This window comes from Homo sapiens, chromosome 10 (assembly GCF_000001405.40).
Source record: "Homo sapiens chromosome 10, GRCh38.p14 Primary Assembly".
NCBI classification, from domain to species: Eukaryota; Metazoa; Chordata; class Mammalia; order Primates; family Hominidae; genus Homo; species Homo sapiens.
Genome location: NC_000010.11, coordinates 7,787,820 through 7,800,371, shown reverse-complemented (window position 1 = coordinate 7,800,371; position 12,552 = coordinate 7,787,820). Strand labels below are relative to the sequence as shown.

Genomic DNA, 12,552 nt, shown 5'->3' with positions numbered 1-12,552 from the left:
TACAAAAAATTAGCCAGGCTTGGTGGCGGGTGCCTGTAGTCCCAGGTACTAGGGAGGCTGAGGCAGGAGAATGGTGTGAACCCAGGAGGCGGAACTTGCAGTGAGCCGAGATGGTGCCACTGCACTCCAGCCTGGGAGGCAGCAAGATTCCATCTAAAAAAGAAACAGCCCCAAATCATTTGCTATAGCTACCACCAGATATCTTGACACTGTCTGCCTTAGTGTACAAATCTCTCCATTCTATATGCCAAAAAATATGTATCATAGAAAAACTACTTACCAGCACTTGCAACGGTATTAAGGGAAAAGATGGGCTTTTCTTCTGTCTTATAGGAGATGACAGACCTAGAATTGACAAAAACAAATGTAAATCTCAAAATAATTTTTAAACTGTTATTTCAAAATATGAACAAAAGCATGAACATAAAAAAGCTTTGATTTCTAAATCTGTCTTGCCTGAATTTATTAAAGATGATGGAGCCTTCATCAAATTCATATCCAGAATTTAGTAATTCAAGGGCAATGACTGACGCATCTCCAAAAGTGGGGGGCTTTCTTCCCACTTCTTTGAATGCCACCAGAAACTGGTCAGAATGAGTCCTATAAGAAAAGCAAGAGCTCACATAGCTAGTTTAATAAGATTTCTGCTGAAAGAGCACAGGGGACAGGCAGGAGAAAACATTGTCACCATGGATCAGGTCTTTTGGGGTATGGGTGGTGGTGATTTCCTGAGTTGTTCCACACACTATCATCATTCCTTTCCTTCAGCACCTGCAAAGAACTAAGAACTAAAAATGAGGTCTGTTTTATATTCTTTTCCCCTTTATTCCTCTCCTTCTAATCCTAATGAACTATTGCTAACATTTCCAGGCTGTAACAGCTCCTCAGATGCCTCATTTGGCTTAATGCTGATAGCTTTTGATATTCACATGGCATTCAACTTATGATCCGGATGAAGAAGCAAAGGTAGAAAACAGGGGAAGGAAAACAGAAATGTTCCAATATATCCTGGAAAAAAGAAAAAGGAAACAAACACCCCCTTGTGAATATACCAAAAAAGGCCCTGAAGAATATACCTTGTTATTGATGAAGGTTTTGAGAGTTTGTCAAAACTTTTGAGAGAAGATTTATTCGTGCTTACATCTTTATGAAAATAAACAATATATATTTAAATTACCTATAAAGTATGCCTCTGATTTTGTCACCAATTCCAACAAGCATAACTTCTTTCCCAGCTGCTGTTAGTGTAGCAACCTCGCTTTTCATCTGTTTAGCAATGGAGGAATGAATAGCACCACACAGTCCTCGATCTGAGGACACACCAATAAGGAGGTGTTTCTTCTTGTCTTCAGGCCCCTTGATATCAGCTTTTTCATACAGAGCTTAAAAACAAACAAAAGCAGTAATTTTTTTATATGCAATACACTAAATACAATAAATCTCTAATTTACAAAGCAGTTGGTTATTTCCAAAATACGCATTTAAATTTAGCTGGCAACTGCCTAGTGTAAGCAGGTGTTCTTAGGACAGCTGTAAGCTGAGGCCGGGCACAGTGGCTCACGCCTGTAATCCCAGCACTTTGGGAGGCCGAGGTGGGCGGATCACCTGAGGTCAGGAGTTTGAGACCGGCCTGGCCAACGTAGTGAAATCCCGTCTCTATTAAAAATATAAAAATTGGCTGGGCACGGTGGCTCACGTCTGTAATCCCAGCACTTTGGGAGGCCAAGGCGGGCGGATCACAAGGTCACGATATCAAGACCACGGTGAAACCCCGTCTCTACTAAAAAATACAAAAAAATTAGCCAGGCGTGGTGGCGGGCGCCTGTAGCCCCAGCTACTTGGGAGGCTGAGGCAGGAGAATGGCGTGAACCCGGGAGGCAGAGCTTGCAGCAAGCTGAGATTATGCCACTGCACTCCATCCCGGGAGACAGAGCTAGACTCCGACTCAGAAAAAAAAAATACAAAAATTAGCCAGGTGTGATGGTGGGGGCCTGTTAATCCCAGCTACTGGGGAGGCTGAGGCAGGAGAATCGCTTGAGCCTGGGAGGGGGAGGTTGTAGTGAGCTGAGATTGCACCATTGCACTCTAGCCTGGGCAACAGAATGAGACTCCATCTCAAAAAAAAACACAAAAAGAAAACAAACAAAAAACAACAACAAAACACACACACACACATAAAAAAACAAAGGACAGCTGTCAGTTGAGATACTGAGGATTTGGTAGATAAATAGGGGGTTCACTGCATGATCTTCTTTACTATCAAATATGCATAAATCTTCCTTAAGTTAAAAATTCTTTTAGATAGCCTCAACTCAGGATAAGACAGCATGATCATAAAAAAGTTAAGAGAAAGAATGTAATTACAAGTTAAAATAGAAACTTCTTTCCCATTTCCAGCTCTTTACAACTTTATTTCCAAGATGAATTCATAATCAAACAAGTATAAAAGCATCTAAAAACACAATATAAATTCTTTTTAAACTGTCATATCTCATCTCTTTTCCATTAAGAAGACTAATTAAGGATGGATTACATAAATTTCTGAAGGAAAAATGTCTTCATGCTTTTGAAAAGATAAGAATGGTGATTAAGTATCTTGAAAATGGAGGTTCTCAGCTGCTTTTCCTGCTTCAACATCGTTCGGATTCTCAAAACACCATCATGAGTCATATCCATGACCACAAGGCCAGCTCTCCACTGCACTGCCCCTCACCCGCCCCCGCTGCAGTCCTAAAATGCCACACTACAAGGTCATAGGATGAAATTAAGCCCTTACATCTAACGCACGGTTTCCAAGTTCTTCTGATGGTATACTTAACAACTGGGAACATTTCAGAATATTTTAAAAGTTAACATGGTCACGTATAATGGCTAACAAATACACAGACTCGACACCAAACCACATAGGTCCAAACAGAGGCTCTTCATCCTTTTATATGTGATCTTAGGCAAGTTACTTAACTTCTGTGTGCTTCAGTTTTTCTCACTGGAAAGCAGGGATTCTAACAGTCCCTACCTGTACTACCTACACGGGTTGTTATCATTACGTGTCAAGTGGATGTAGATGAAAAATAAGTACATGGCAAGTGCTCAGATAGGCTTGACATCACTGTAAGCTCTAAATGTAAGTCATCAGTAGTCTTCCTTGTGTGAAACAGTTCTTCCTAATTTGTGAATTACACTCTTCCCTTACCTAAAGATCCCAATCCATATATTCGAGCTGGTTTCAGCTCTCTCTCAGCTCGGGCATATTTTGCTGCCGCTACCATTTTCATAGACTTGGTAATTTTCTGGATGTTTTTGATGGACTTTAGTCTCCTGGTGACTGAAAAATAGAAGTACTGTGTTAAGACAAAGGAATTACAGTATAACTTCCTTGTGAATTTATTGACATATTTTTCTGAAGTGCAAGGCAGAATAATGAGCGCTTAGATAAACAATAAACAGCACGATGCTAAACCAGTCTTAATATTAGAACTAGTACTAATAGCCGGGCACGGTGGCTCACGCCTGTAATCCCAGCACTTTGGGAGGCTGAGGTGGGCGGATCACGAGGTCAGGAGATCAAGACCATCTTGGCTAACACGGTGAAACCCCGTCTCCACTAAAAATACAAAAAATTAGCCGAGCGTGGTGGCGGGCGCCTGTAGTCCCAGCTACTCGGGAGGCTGAGGCAGGAGAACGGCGTGAACCCGGGAGGCGGAGCTTGCAGTGAGCCGAGATGGCGCCACTGCACTCCAGCCTGGGTGATAGAATGAGGCTCCATCTCCAAAAAAAAAAAATAGAAATAGTACTAATAAAAGGAAGGCAAAACTAGCTACTACTTAGGACAAGCAAATGGCAACATAAGACAATAATATACATTTAAAACATTAAATGGTATTGAAAGTTGCCTTAACCACATATTCCATAACATTATTTATATATAACATGATTTACCCCTTCCCACACATACACCCACCTACACCAACACTGGTATAATTTTTTCTAGTTATATCATGATCATTCTACAAACAACAGAACATAGCTGTCTCAGGTGTCCTTTCTTACTGGTCTTTTCAGAACAAGTCCAATGTCCCAAACATACAATGGAAATCCATTTGGTCAGTTTTGATCAAATACACAATGGGCTAAAGCAGTATATTTTTGAAAGTATTTGTATTTGTCAAAATTTAGTTTTTCTCAATTCACATATTGAGACAAACAACATACTTACTATCTTTCAAAGTTGCCATATTTCGAACTTGAATCCTGAGGATAAAAGTTTTAAAAATGTTTCAGTTTTTTGAAAAATAGTTCCATTATACAAGAAAAACTTTCAGTTAATATATATTTATTTAAAGAATACCCCATAAAGAAACAATCTATCAAATACAGGACTCAGAATGTATATGAATAGACATATATTTAAATCCCTTAGTAGTGGCGCAAATCCCTGTATTGAAGGCCTCCTTTTATTTGGCCTGTCTGTACCACCACCTTCCCAGAAGTCAACATGCTCTATTGACTCACACATGCTCTAGTCCCACCTCCATATCTTTGCTTATCTTGTTTCCATGACAGAAAAGCCCCTCCCCTTGTTAAGCTGCCCAACTATACTTCGAATCAAGGCCAGCCACTCTAAAAATTTCCTTAGTTCACAGCAACCTCTTCCAGTAACAGAGTCAATGATATAGTCGAACATGACTACACGTGTAAAAGTAGTTTATATAAACTGATTCTTAACTTTTTCAATTTAGCTCAATAAACATTTACCAAGATGCTCTAAATTCCAGGCACTGGTAAACACGACATGGTCTCTGACATATTGTTACCTTGTAAACAAGGTTCATAAAAAATTACATTTACATAACATTTAGTATTTTTTTTCAAGTCTTTAAAATTGAAATGCTAATGTGCAGAAGTCAAAATGATTAGGCTTAAATGAAATGTTGGTGAAAGATGAATATGAGAGAATTCCTGGCCTAATGGGGGAAGACATGCTAAAAAATATTAGATGATCTTTCTGCCTTCAAATCCATACAAAGTGCCTGTGTTTGCAGGCAAAGCTACACAGGAGAACTGAGCATGATGAAATGTGTGCACAAAGTAGAGATGTGAGGAGGGGATTCTCGGGAACAGAATGTCATTTTAAGAGCATTCATGATCAGGAAAGAGTGAGAAATGGAGAAGGGGAAACTGGACACATGAGTTGGGTTTGTTACTTTAAATAATTAATATTTTTAAATATCAAAAAAAGCAAATTGGTTTAAATCTTATTTGTAGGTTAATAGGGAAATGAATGTTTATAAGCCCACAAATCAGTTTAGTATTTCAGCAAAGTATCTCACATGGCAGTGACAAGCGTAAAATGAGGTTGGAGTTTTGATGAACACAGAAGACATGGGGATGTAGGCTGCCACAGCCTCAGGAGAGACCTCAAGAACCTGGATGAAGATGCTGGCAAAGCAATAGGAGACTAGATTTGCAAGCATTTAACTTCTTCACATGTACATTCGTAGTAGAAAGGAAAGCAGTAAGAATGATCTAAGGTTTCTCTAATTGAATGACCTTGGTGGACAGTGACTAATATCTCTCATGAGCATAGGTTAGAGGCAAAAATCCTCAACAGTGTATTAGCAAATCAAATCCAACAATGTATTAAAAATAATTATACACCATCACTACGTGGGATTTACTCCAGGTATGCAAAGCTGGTTCAATATTAAAAAATCAAATAATATAATCTATTACGTCAACAGGTTAAAGAAAAAATCATACAATCAATAGGTGCAGAAAAAGCATCCAACAAAATCTAACACCCAGTCATGAAAAAGTCTCTCAGCAAACTAGGAATAGAGAACTTCCTCAACCTGCTAAAAAAAAAAAAAACAACACACAAAATCTCTGATTTAATGGGAGAGGCTAGGAGCTTTCCCCATAAGATTGCGAACAAGACAAGGAAATCCCCACTCATCACTCTTCTTCAGTATCATACTGGAAGTCTTAGCTAATGCAGTAAGACAAGAAAATAAGAGGCATAGAAATTTGAAGGGAAGGAATAAAACTGTTTTTGTTCATAGATGACATGATTATCTATGTAGAAAATCCCAAAGAATAAAAATAGCCCCTCCTAGAACCAATAAGCATTTATGACAAGGTTGCAGGATATAAGGTTAGTGTATATAAAAAGCTAGTTGCATTCCTCTGCAGCAGCCCTGAACTACTGGAGTATGAAGTTAAAAATGCCCGCACACAATTGTATGGTTAAAATGATAAACTTCATGTTCCATGTGTTTTACAATTTTAAAAATCCATTAGAATCTCAGCAAGTTTGATTTTAGTTGATATCTATTTTGTGGATATCAATAAACTGATTTTCAAGGTTATATAGGAAGGCCAAAGACCTAGAAAAGTCAAACAATATTGTCAGGACTGACACTACCTGACGTTAAGACCTCCTCTAAAGTTACAGTAATAAAAAAGCAAAAGCAATTCAAGGAAAAAAGGATATTCTTTTCAACAAACAAATGGCACTGGAACAACTGGACACTAATATGCAAAAATATTAATCTGTACAATGACTTTACAAATTTAATAAAAATTAACTTAAAATGAATCACAGGCCTAAATATAAAATGCCAAACCATAAAACTTCTACAAGATACCACAGGAGACAATCCAGGTGCCTTGGGTTTGGCAATGAGTTTTTAAACACAACACCAAAAGCATGATCCATGACAGAAAAAAATGAGTTGGGCTTTATTGAAATTTAGAACTTCTGTCCTGTGAAAAATACTGTGAAGAGAATGAAAAGTCAATCCACAGGCTGGGAGAAAATATTTCTAAAACTCATCTCTGATAAAGGACTTGTATCCAAAACAAACAACTCTTAAAATGCAATAAGAGAACAAACAACCCAAATAAAAAAAATGGGCAAAAGATCTGGAAACTTCACCAAAGAAGATCAACAGATGGCAGGGCCAGGTGCGGTGGCTCACGCCTATAATCCCAGCACTTTGGGAGGCCGAGGCAGGCGGATCACGAGGTCAGGAGTTCCGAGACCAGCCTGACCAACATGGTGAAACCCCGTCTCTACTAAAAATACAAAAAATTAGCCAGGCGTGCTGGTGGGCACCTGTAATCCCAGCTACTCAGGAGGCTGAGGCAGAAGAATCGCTTGAACCCAGGAGGTGGAGGTTGTGGTGAGCAGAGATCGTGCCATTGCATTCCACCTGGATGACAGAGCAAGACTCTGTCTCAAAAAACAAAAACAAAAACCAACCAGATGGCAAAAAGCACATAAGATGATGCTCAGTATCATGTCATTAGAGAACTGCAAGTTAAAACAGTAAGATATCACTACACACCTGCAAGAATGGATAAAACCCAAGAAACTGACCAGCAAATGATGATGAGGATGTGGAGCAAAAGGAACTCTCATTGATGGCTGGCAGAATGTAAAATAGTACACAGCCACTTGGGAAGATGTTCTGGTAGCTTTTTACAAACCTAAACCTAGTCTTAACTTACCCAACTGAGATGAAATGTTATGTCCACATAAAACCTACACAAGAGCATGTAAAGCAGCTTCATTCATGATGCCAAAAGTTGGAAGCAACCCAGATGTCCTTCAATACATGAATGGATAATCTAACTCTGATACATCCATACAATGGACTATTATTCACCAAAACCACAAAGGAGCTATTAAGTTATAAAAAGGCATGGAGAAACCTTAAGTGCATACTGCTAAGGGAGAGAAGGCCATCTGAAAAAAAGCAAATACTGTATGATTCTGGCTATGTGACATGCCAGAAAAGCCGAGGATCTAGCAATAGTTGAGAGAAGTGGTTGTCAGGGTTTTGGGGAGAGTAGAGGAGGGATTTTTAGGGCAGTGAAGCTCTTTGGCATGATATTGTAATGGTGGATACATGTCATTATGCATTTGTCCAAATCCGTGGAACTGTATAACAAAAAGAGTGGATCTTTGTTTTTTGCGGTTTGAAGACAGGGTCTCACTCCCCTCACCCAGGCTATAGTGCAGTGGTGTGATCATGGCTTCCTGCAGTCTCAACTTCCTGGGCTCAGGTGATTCTCCCACTACAGCACGAAAAATATTAGGTTTGGTTTTAAGAATGAATCTACTAAAGGAAAAGATAAAAGCTGGCAAATCCTGACAAGCTCTGTTATTTCAGAGCACAAACTACCTGCCATGACTGTTCTACTACAACAGCTTTTCATAATCACACTTGAAAAGTAATACCAGTTTTTGGTCAACCTTCCTTTTTTGGTGTAGTAATGACTTTTCTCCCTGAACACAAAATTTATTGGTTATAACAAGTCACTCTTGGATATTATTGTTTTAGGCAGACACTTCAACTGACACAAGTTTCTAGTCAGAGAATACCATATGGTATAAATTTGAATTGAATACCATATTTGGACAAACACAGAATGTTTTGGTTTCCTTAAGTACTCCAAGTCAGAGGTATGAAGAGGTAGCATCTTTTGTGATAATGCTACGCATTTGCCCTAATTTCATGTGTTTTAAAGCACTCTCATGTTTAGCTTTCATTTAATTCTGAAGACGTCTATGTTACTACTTTAATTGTTAGGTACAATTTGAGTAAGAACAGTGATGAGCTAATTGAACTCTCTTTAGGGATAGCTTCCTTTATTAAATATAAAAGTTTTGCAAATGAGGAGATAAAGCTCTGAATCATTGCACGTCCTGAGATCCTCGGGAGACTAAGAAACACAGTGGAGGGAGAATCAAATGGACCGTGGATTACCACTATCTACCATGATTCCACAGCGCTGTTATAACAGCTGACGAAGGCAGTGGAGGAGGGAGTCAGGAATGACACCCTTCCAAGAAACTATTGTTTGAGAGATTTTTAAGGAGTATATTAAGATACATAAAAACTTAAAAAGCAAGCAATATTGGCTAATTCTCAACGAAAATTATGAAGTGACTCTAATTCTGATATTAAGCGTGTAAAAGTCCATTACCTGCCACCAGCAAAAACTGACTCCTTCACACTTACCTAACCCACACCCATGACTGCATCATCTTTTTTTTTTTGTTTTTGAGATGGAGTCTCACTGTGTCGCCAGGCTGAAATGCAGTGGCACGATCTCAGCTCACTGCAACCTCCGCCTCCCGGGTTCAAGCAATTCTCCTGCCTCAGCCTCCCGAGTAGCTGGGACTACAGGTGCGTACCACCACGTCTGGGTAATTTTTGTATTTTTAGTACAGACAGGGTTTCACCATGTTGGCCAGTATGGTCTTGATCTCCTGACCTTGTGATCCGCCCGCCTCGGCCTCTCAAAATGCTGGGATTACAGACGTGAGCCACTGCGCCTAGCCCGACTGCATCTTCTTTTCCTCTTTTCGCAAGTCCAAGCAATCTTCTTACATTACATTTGATGTAGAAACTGTACTTAAAAACTCTTCATTTCTCTACTGATATACAGCATTTGGATCCCTATCAGCATTTCCCCCATTGTCCTACATGCTTTGCAAATACTCTAATCCTCACACTAACCCACTGAATTGTGCACTTTTATTGCATATATTTGACAGATGAGGAACTGGTGGGACAGACACTGAGTAACCTGCCCAAGGTCACAGAGCTGCTAAGTGGCAATCAGAATTCAATCCCTGCCGTCTGAATGCAGCCCTTCAGGGCTGGCTACAGAGTCTCTCTCTTCATACAGTACTACACTCTGCTGCCTCACATTTTTTACATTTATTAGTAAATATCTGCCCTCATGGTCTCAGATGACAATTTGTCTTTTCTCTCCTGAAATGCCATCTCCTTATCGGTATCTGTAGTTTATGACTACTGACACGTTATTAAAAAACAGTTCCATTTTAGAGACTACTGAACTCTAAGAAATAGAAATGTTTTTCCCAAATTTGAAGACAGTAAAATCCGGGATTCTTTCTCTCAAATTTTTAATTTCCATTTTCTTATATGCTGCTTTAAAAAAAAGGTTTAATTTTCAAAACGTTAGAGTATTTTGCCGATACCCTAACAACTATTAAAATAACCACTGTGAATTTAAGTAAGCCTAATGTTTTTATGTTAGCATGGTAGCCTCTCTGAAAACAAAAACTAAAATAACAAATTGTACTTTAAAAAACTTCCAGTAATCAAGACAGAAGCATGGAAATATGCCTCTTCATGGTTCGTTAAGACAAAGGTCTTTTCTTCCCCTTCCAAATTAATTCTGTGGAGTGGTTTTAATTTCTGAATTCAAAAGGCAATTATAATTCATGGAAAGAGAAATGGCAGAAGAGGAAGGAAAGACATTAAGCACCAGCAGTGAAGGAATACATGAAAAGAAGAAGACAGAATATGCTTTCATAGTGGAACACTGTTGATTGATGATTTATAAAACCAATATTCCAAAGGGATTAAGGTCAGGATTAGGACCTTTATATGCTGATTGTGGTTCCGATTTAAGCTCCTAACAGTAGTTGTCTTGAACTGAGAGCTCTTATTTAAAACAATCCTTCACTAAAAGAGCTTCAAATTATCTTACAGGTGCTTTAAAAAAAGATATTTCTAAAATTTTTTGTAAAATATTGTCTTTGTTTCAGAAACTATTTCCACTTTTTTAAAGATCAACTTAGAAACTAAGGTTGTAAAAATACTGACAGATAACATTAATGCGTGGCAAGAAGGTAAGGCCAGGAGAGCTGATGTTCGCAGAGCACCACTGCATGCCAGGCACTGTCCCAGGAAACTGACTGAGACCTTATCTATTTGCTCACCATCACATTTGGGCACTTTCCAAGTACCACCGGGTGGAGTGGAAGCACTCAGCTAATGTCTGCTGAGTGGTTAACAAGTGGGACAATCTATACAACTGAGAATTCAACTACAGTGACCTTTTAATTCCCATGAATGTTCTTTTTCCATATTAGAGAAAAAAAAATCTGACTTCCAAGGCCAAGCCACCAAAAATTTTATGTGGCTAATTCACATCAGATATCATTCTGAAAATCTCGTATATTACTATCAGTTATTTGCTTAATGAAAAACCTATTTATTTCAACTAATGCTTTATGGTCCCTTCATATAAATTAGGATACGAAAATCTAGTTTAGCACTGTAGCGCCTTAGAAATCCTCCACACTGTTAAGAGCAGGGAATTGCTACGACACAGCCTAGAATCCCCTTAGCAGCGTGTCTGGAATTCTTCCAGATTCCGTCAAGCTTCAAAACTGAACAGCACCACCCACAAACCAACTTTTACCTGCCCATTCCCGGGCCTTCTAATATGCACTTCCCCCAGCCCAGGTCCCCCTACCCGGAACTAATGTTTAAAATTCTCGAGGCTCGTGGCACCCTTTAGTTGCATGTCAGTTAACAAATGCCACTTAAAAGCCCACCGAACTCCTCCCCCAGGACCTGGGGGCAATTTCATGACCTTGCAGGGTTACGGTTTCAGCAAGTGGTTTCAAGGTAGTGCTAGGTGTCCTTCCCTTCCCCGCCCTCAGACAGATCTGTACGGTCCCTTCTGCACCAAAACCACCCTCAGAGGCATCTAGGATGTTCGCCTTTGCTGTTGCAGCACCCAGCAAAGCGTCTGCAACACGGGAGGTGCTCGACGGCCGCGCTCTCTGACTCGATCGAATCTTAAAGGGTCACTCTGTCCAGCACTACAGGGTTTCAAAGGGCGTCAAGGACAAAAAGCACGACTTAACCTTCCCCTGGGCTATTGCTCAGGCTCCCGTCACCTTGCAGGCCCTGAGACTGGGGGCCTGGCTTGCAGTGGAAGTGGAAGCTCAGGAAGTGCTGATTAGCTGAGGGAACTCAAGACCGCCCAGACGTCAATTTGGACTCAGGCCGCAGTCCCGAGGTCCCAGGTGGCCCTCCGACCTCAGGGAACCGGGCGGGACCTTGCTCCGCCGGAGCCCGGCCCTGCGCACACCTTGCCCGACCTCAGAGCCGCTTCCTGCAGCCCCCGCTACCCGGCGCCTCCGACGGGCCAGGGGCCCAGCTAGGCCCTGCGACCCCACATCTGCCCCCGCGCCCATCTCCTCCTCCCTGCCCCGTGCCCAAGCTCTTCCATCCCTTGCGGTCCTGCCGATCTTCCCGCAAGCTGCCATACCATTGCGGCTGCAAGGTCCAGGCCGACAGCCCAGCGACACCCGCGCGAGAGAACATGGTAGCCACAGCCCTGCTGAAGGTCGGTCAGGCAGGCCTCAGCGCGCATGCGCCGAAGCTCCCCAGCGCGCCCCTCCCACCTTGCTCTCTTCTTCAGTCTCGTTTCTTCGCGCTACGGCGAGGGGAGTCTCGCGACCGTTGCAACCCAGTCTTCCCAGGCCCCACCTCCTTCCGCCTCTCAGCTGGGATTTGTCCCGCCCACCGCCGCCAGCCCGGTTCCGTTTCCGGCTGGCTGAGTACTGGGGTCCAGAAAGTGATCGCTGCCGTGGTCGCCATGGGGAAGTCGGATTTTCTTACTCCCAAGGCTATCGCCAACAGGATCAAGTCCAAGGGGCTGCAGAAGCTACGCTGGTATTGCCAGATGTGCCAGAAGCAGTGCCGGGACGAG

General features: G+C 41.3%; 2 protein-coding genes and 1 long non-coding RNA gene across 11 annotated transcripts in view, besides 2 other annotated features; 2 read left to right on the top strand and 1 right to left on the bottom strand.

The window, feature by feature from the left end:
- LOC105376392 (uncharacterized) overlaps positions 1-941 on the top strand; it is an 18,933-nt gene extending 17,992 nt beyond the window's left edge. The window contains exon 3 of the long non-coding RNA XR_001747356.1: positions 871-941. This is a non-coding gene — a long non-coding RNA (uncharacterized LOC105376392). The remainder of the gene's footprint in view (positions 1-870) is intronic.
- ATP5F1C (ATP synthase F1 subunit gamma) overlaps positions 1-12,195 on the bottom strand; it is a 19,625-nt gene extending 7,430 nt beyond the window's left edge. For 3 of the 5 annotated variants that reach the window (NM_001001973.3, NM_005174.4, XM_047425254.1), the window contains exons 1-6: positions 12,109-12,195; positions 4,217-4,251; positions 3,194-3,325; positions 1,178-1,382; positions 457-600; positions 281-345 (exon numbers count right to left, since the gene is read on the bottom strand). In NM_001001973.3, coding sequence (NP_001001973.1) covers positions 281-345; positions 457-600; positions 1,178-1,382; positions 3,194-3,325; positions 4,217-4,251; positions 12,109-12,164 — 637 coding nt within the window. In that variant the 5' untranslated portion in view covers positions 12,165-12,195. The remainder of the gene's footprint in view (positions 1-280; positions 346-456; positions 601-1,177; positions 1,383-3,193; positions 3,326-4,216; positions 4,252-12,108) is intronic. The other 2 variants (NM_001320886.2, XM_017016290.2) reach the window with 1 other exon arrangement.
- Positions 11,111-11,654: an enhancer, noted in NCBI's record as "H3K27ac hESC enhancer chr10:7830681-7831224 (GRCh37/hg19 assembly coordinates)". NCBI's record gives its function as "activates a minimal SCP1, AML or CMV promoter by ChIP-STARR-seq in primed H9 embryonic stem cells {active_cell/tissue: H9 hESC(primed)}" and the evidence as "EXISTENCE:reporter gene assay evidence [ECO:0000049][PMID:30033119]".
- Positions 12,107-12,426: an enhancer, noted in NCBI's record as "active region_2981". NCBI's record gives its function as "activates an Ori minimal core promoter by ATAC-STARR-seq in GM12878 lymphoblastoid cells {active_cell/tissue: GM12878}" and the evidence as "EXISTENCE:reporter gene assay evidence [ECO:0000049][PMID:35858748]".
- The window catches only part of KIN (Kin17 DNA and RNA binding protein), a 37,032-nt gene continuing 36,858 nt past the window's right edge, over positions 12,379-12,552 (top strand). For all 5 annotated transcript variants that reach the window (NR_045609.2, XR_930485.3, NM_012311.4 and 2 more), the window contains exon 1: positions 12,379-12,552. Coding sequence is in view for 2 of the 5 variants with exons in the window: in NM_012311.4 (NP_036443.1) it covers positions 12,439-12,552 (114 nt within the window). In the remaining 3 variants the exon portion in view is untranslated.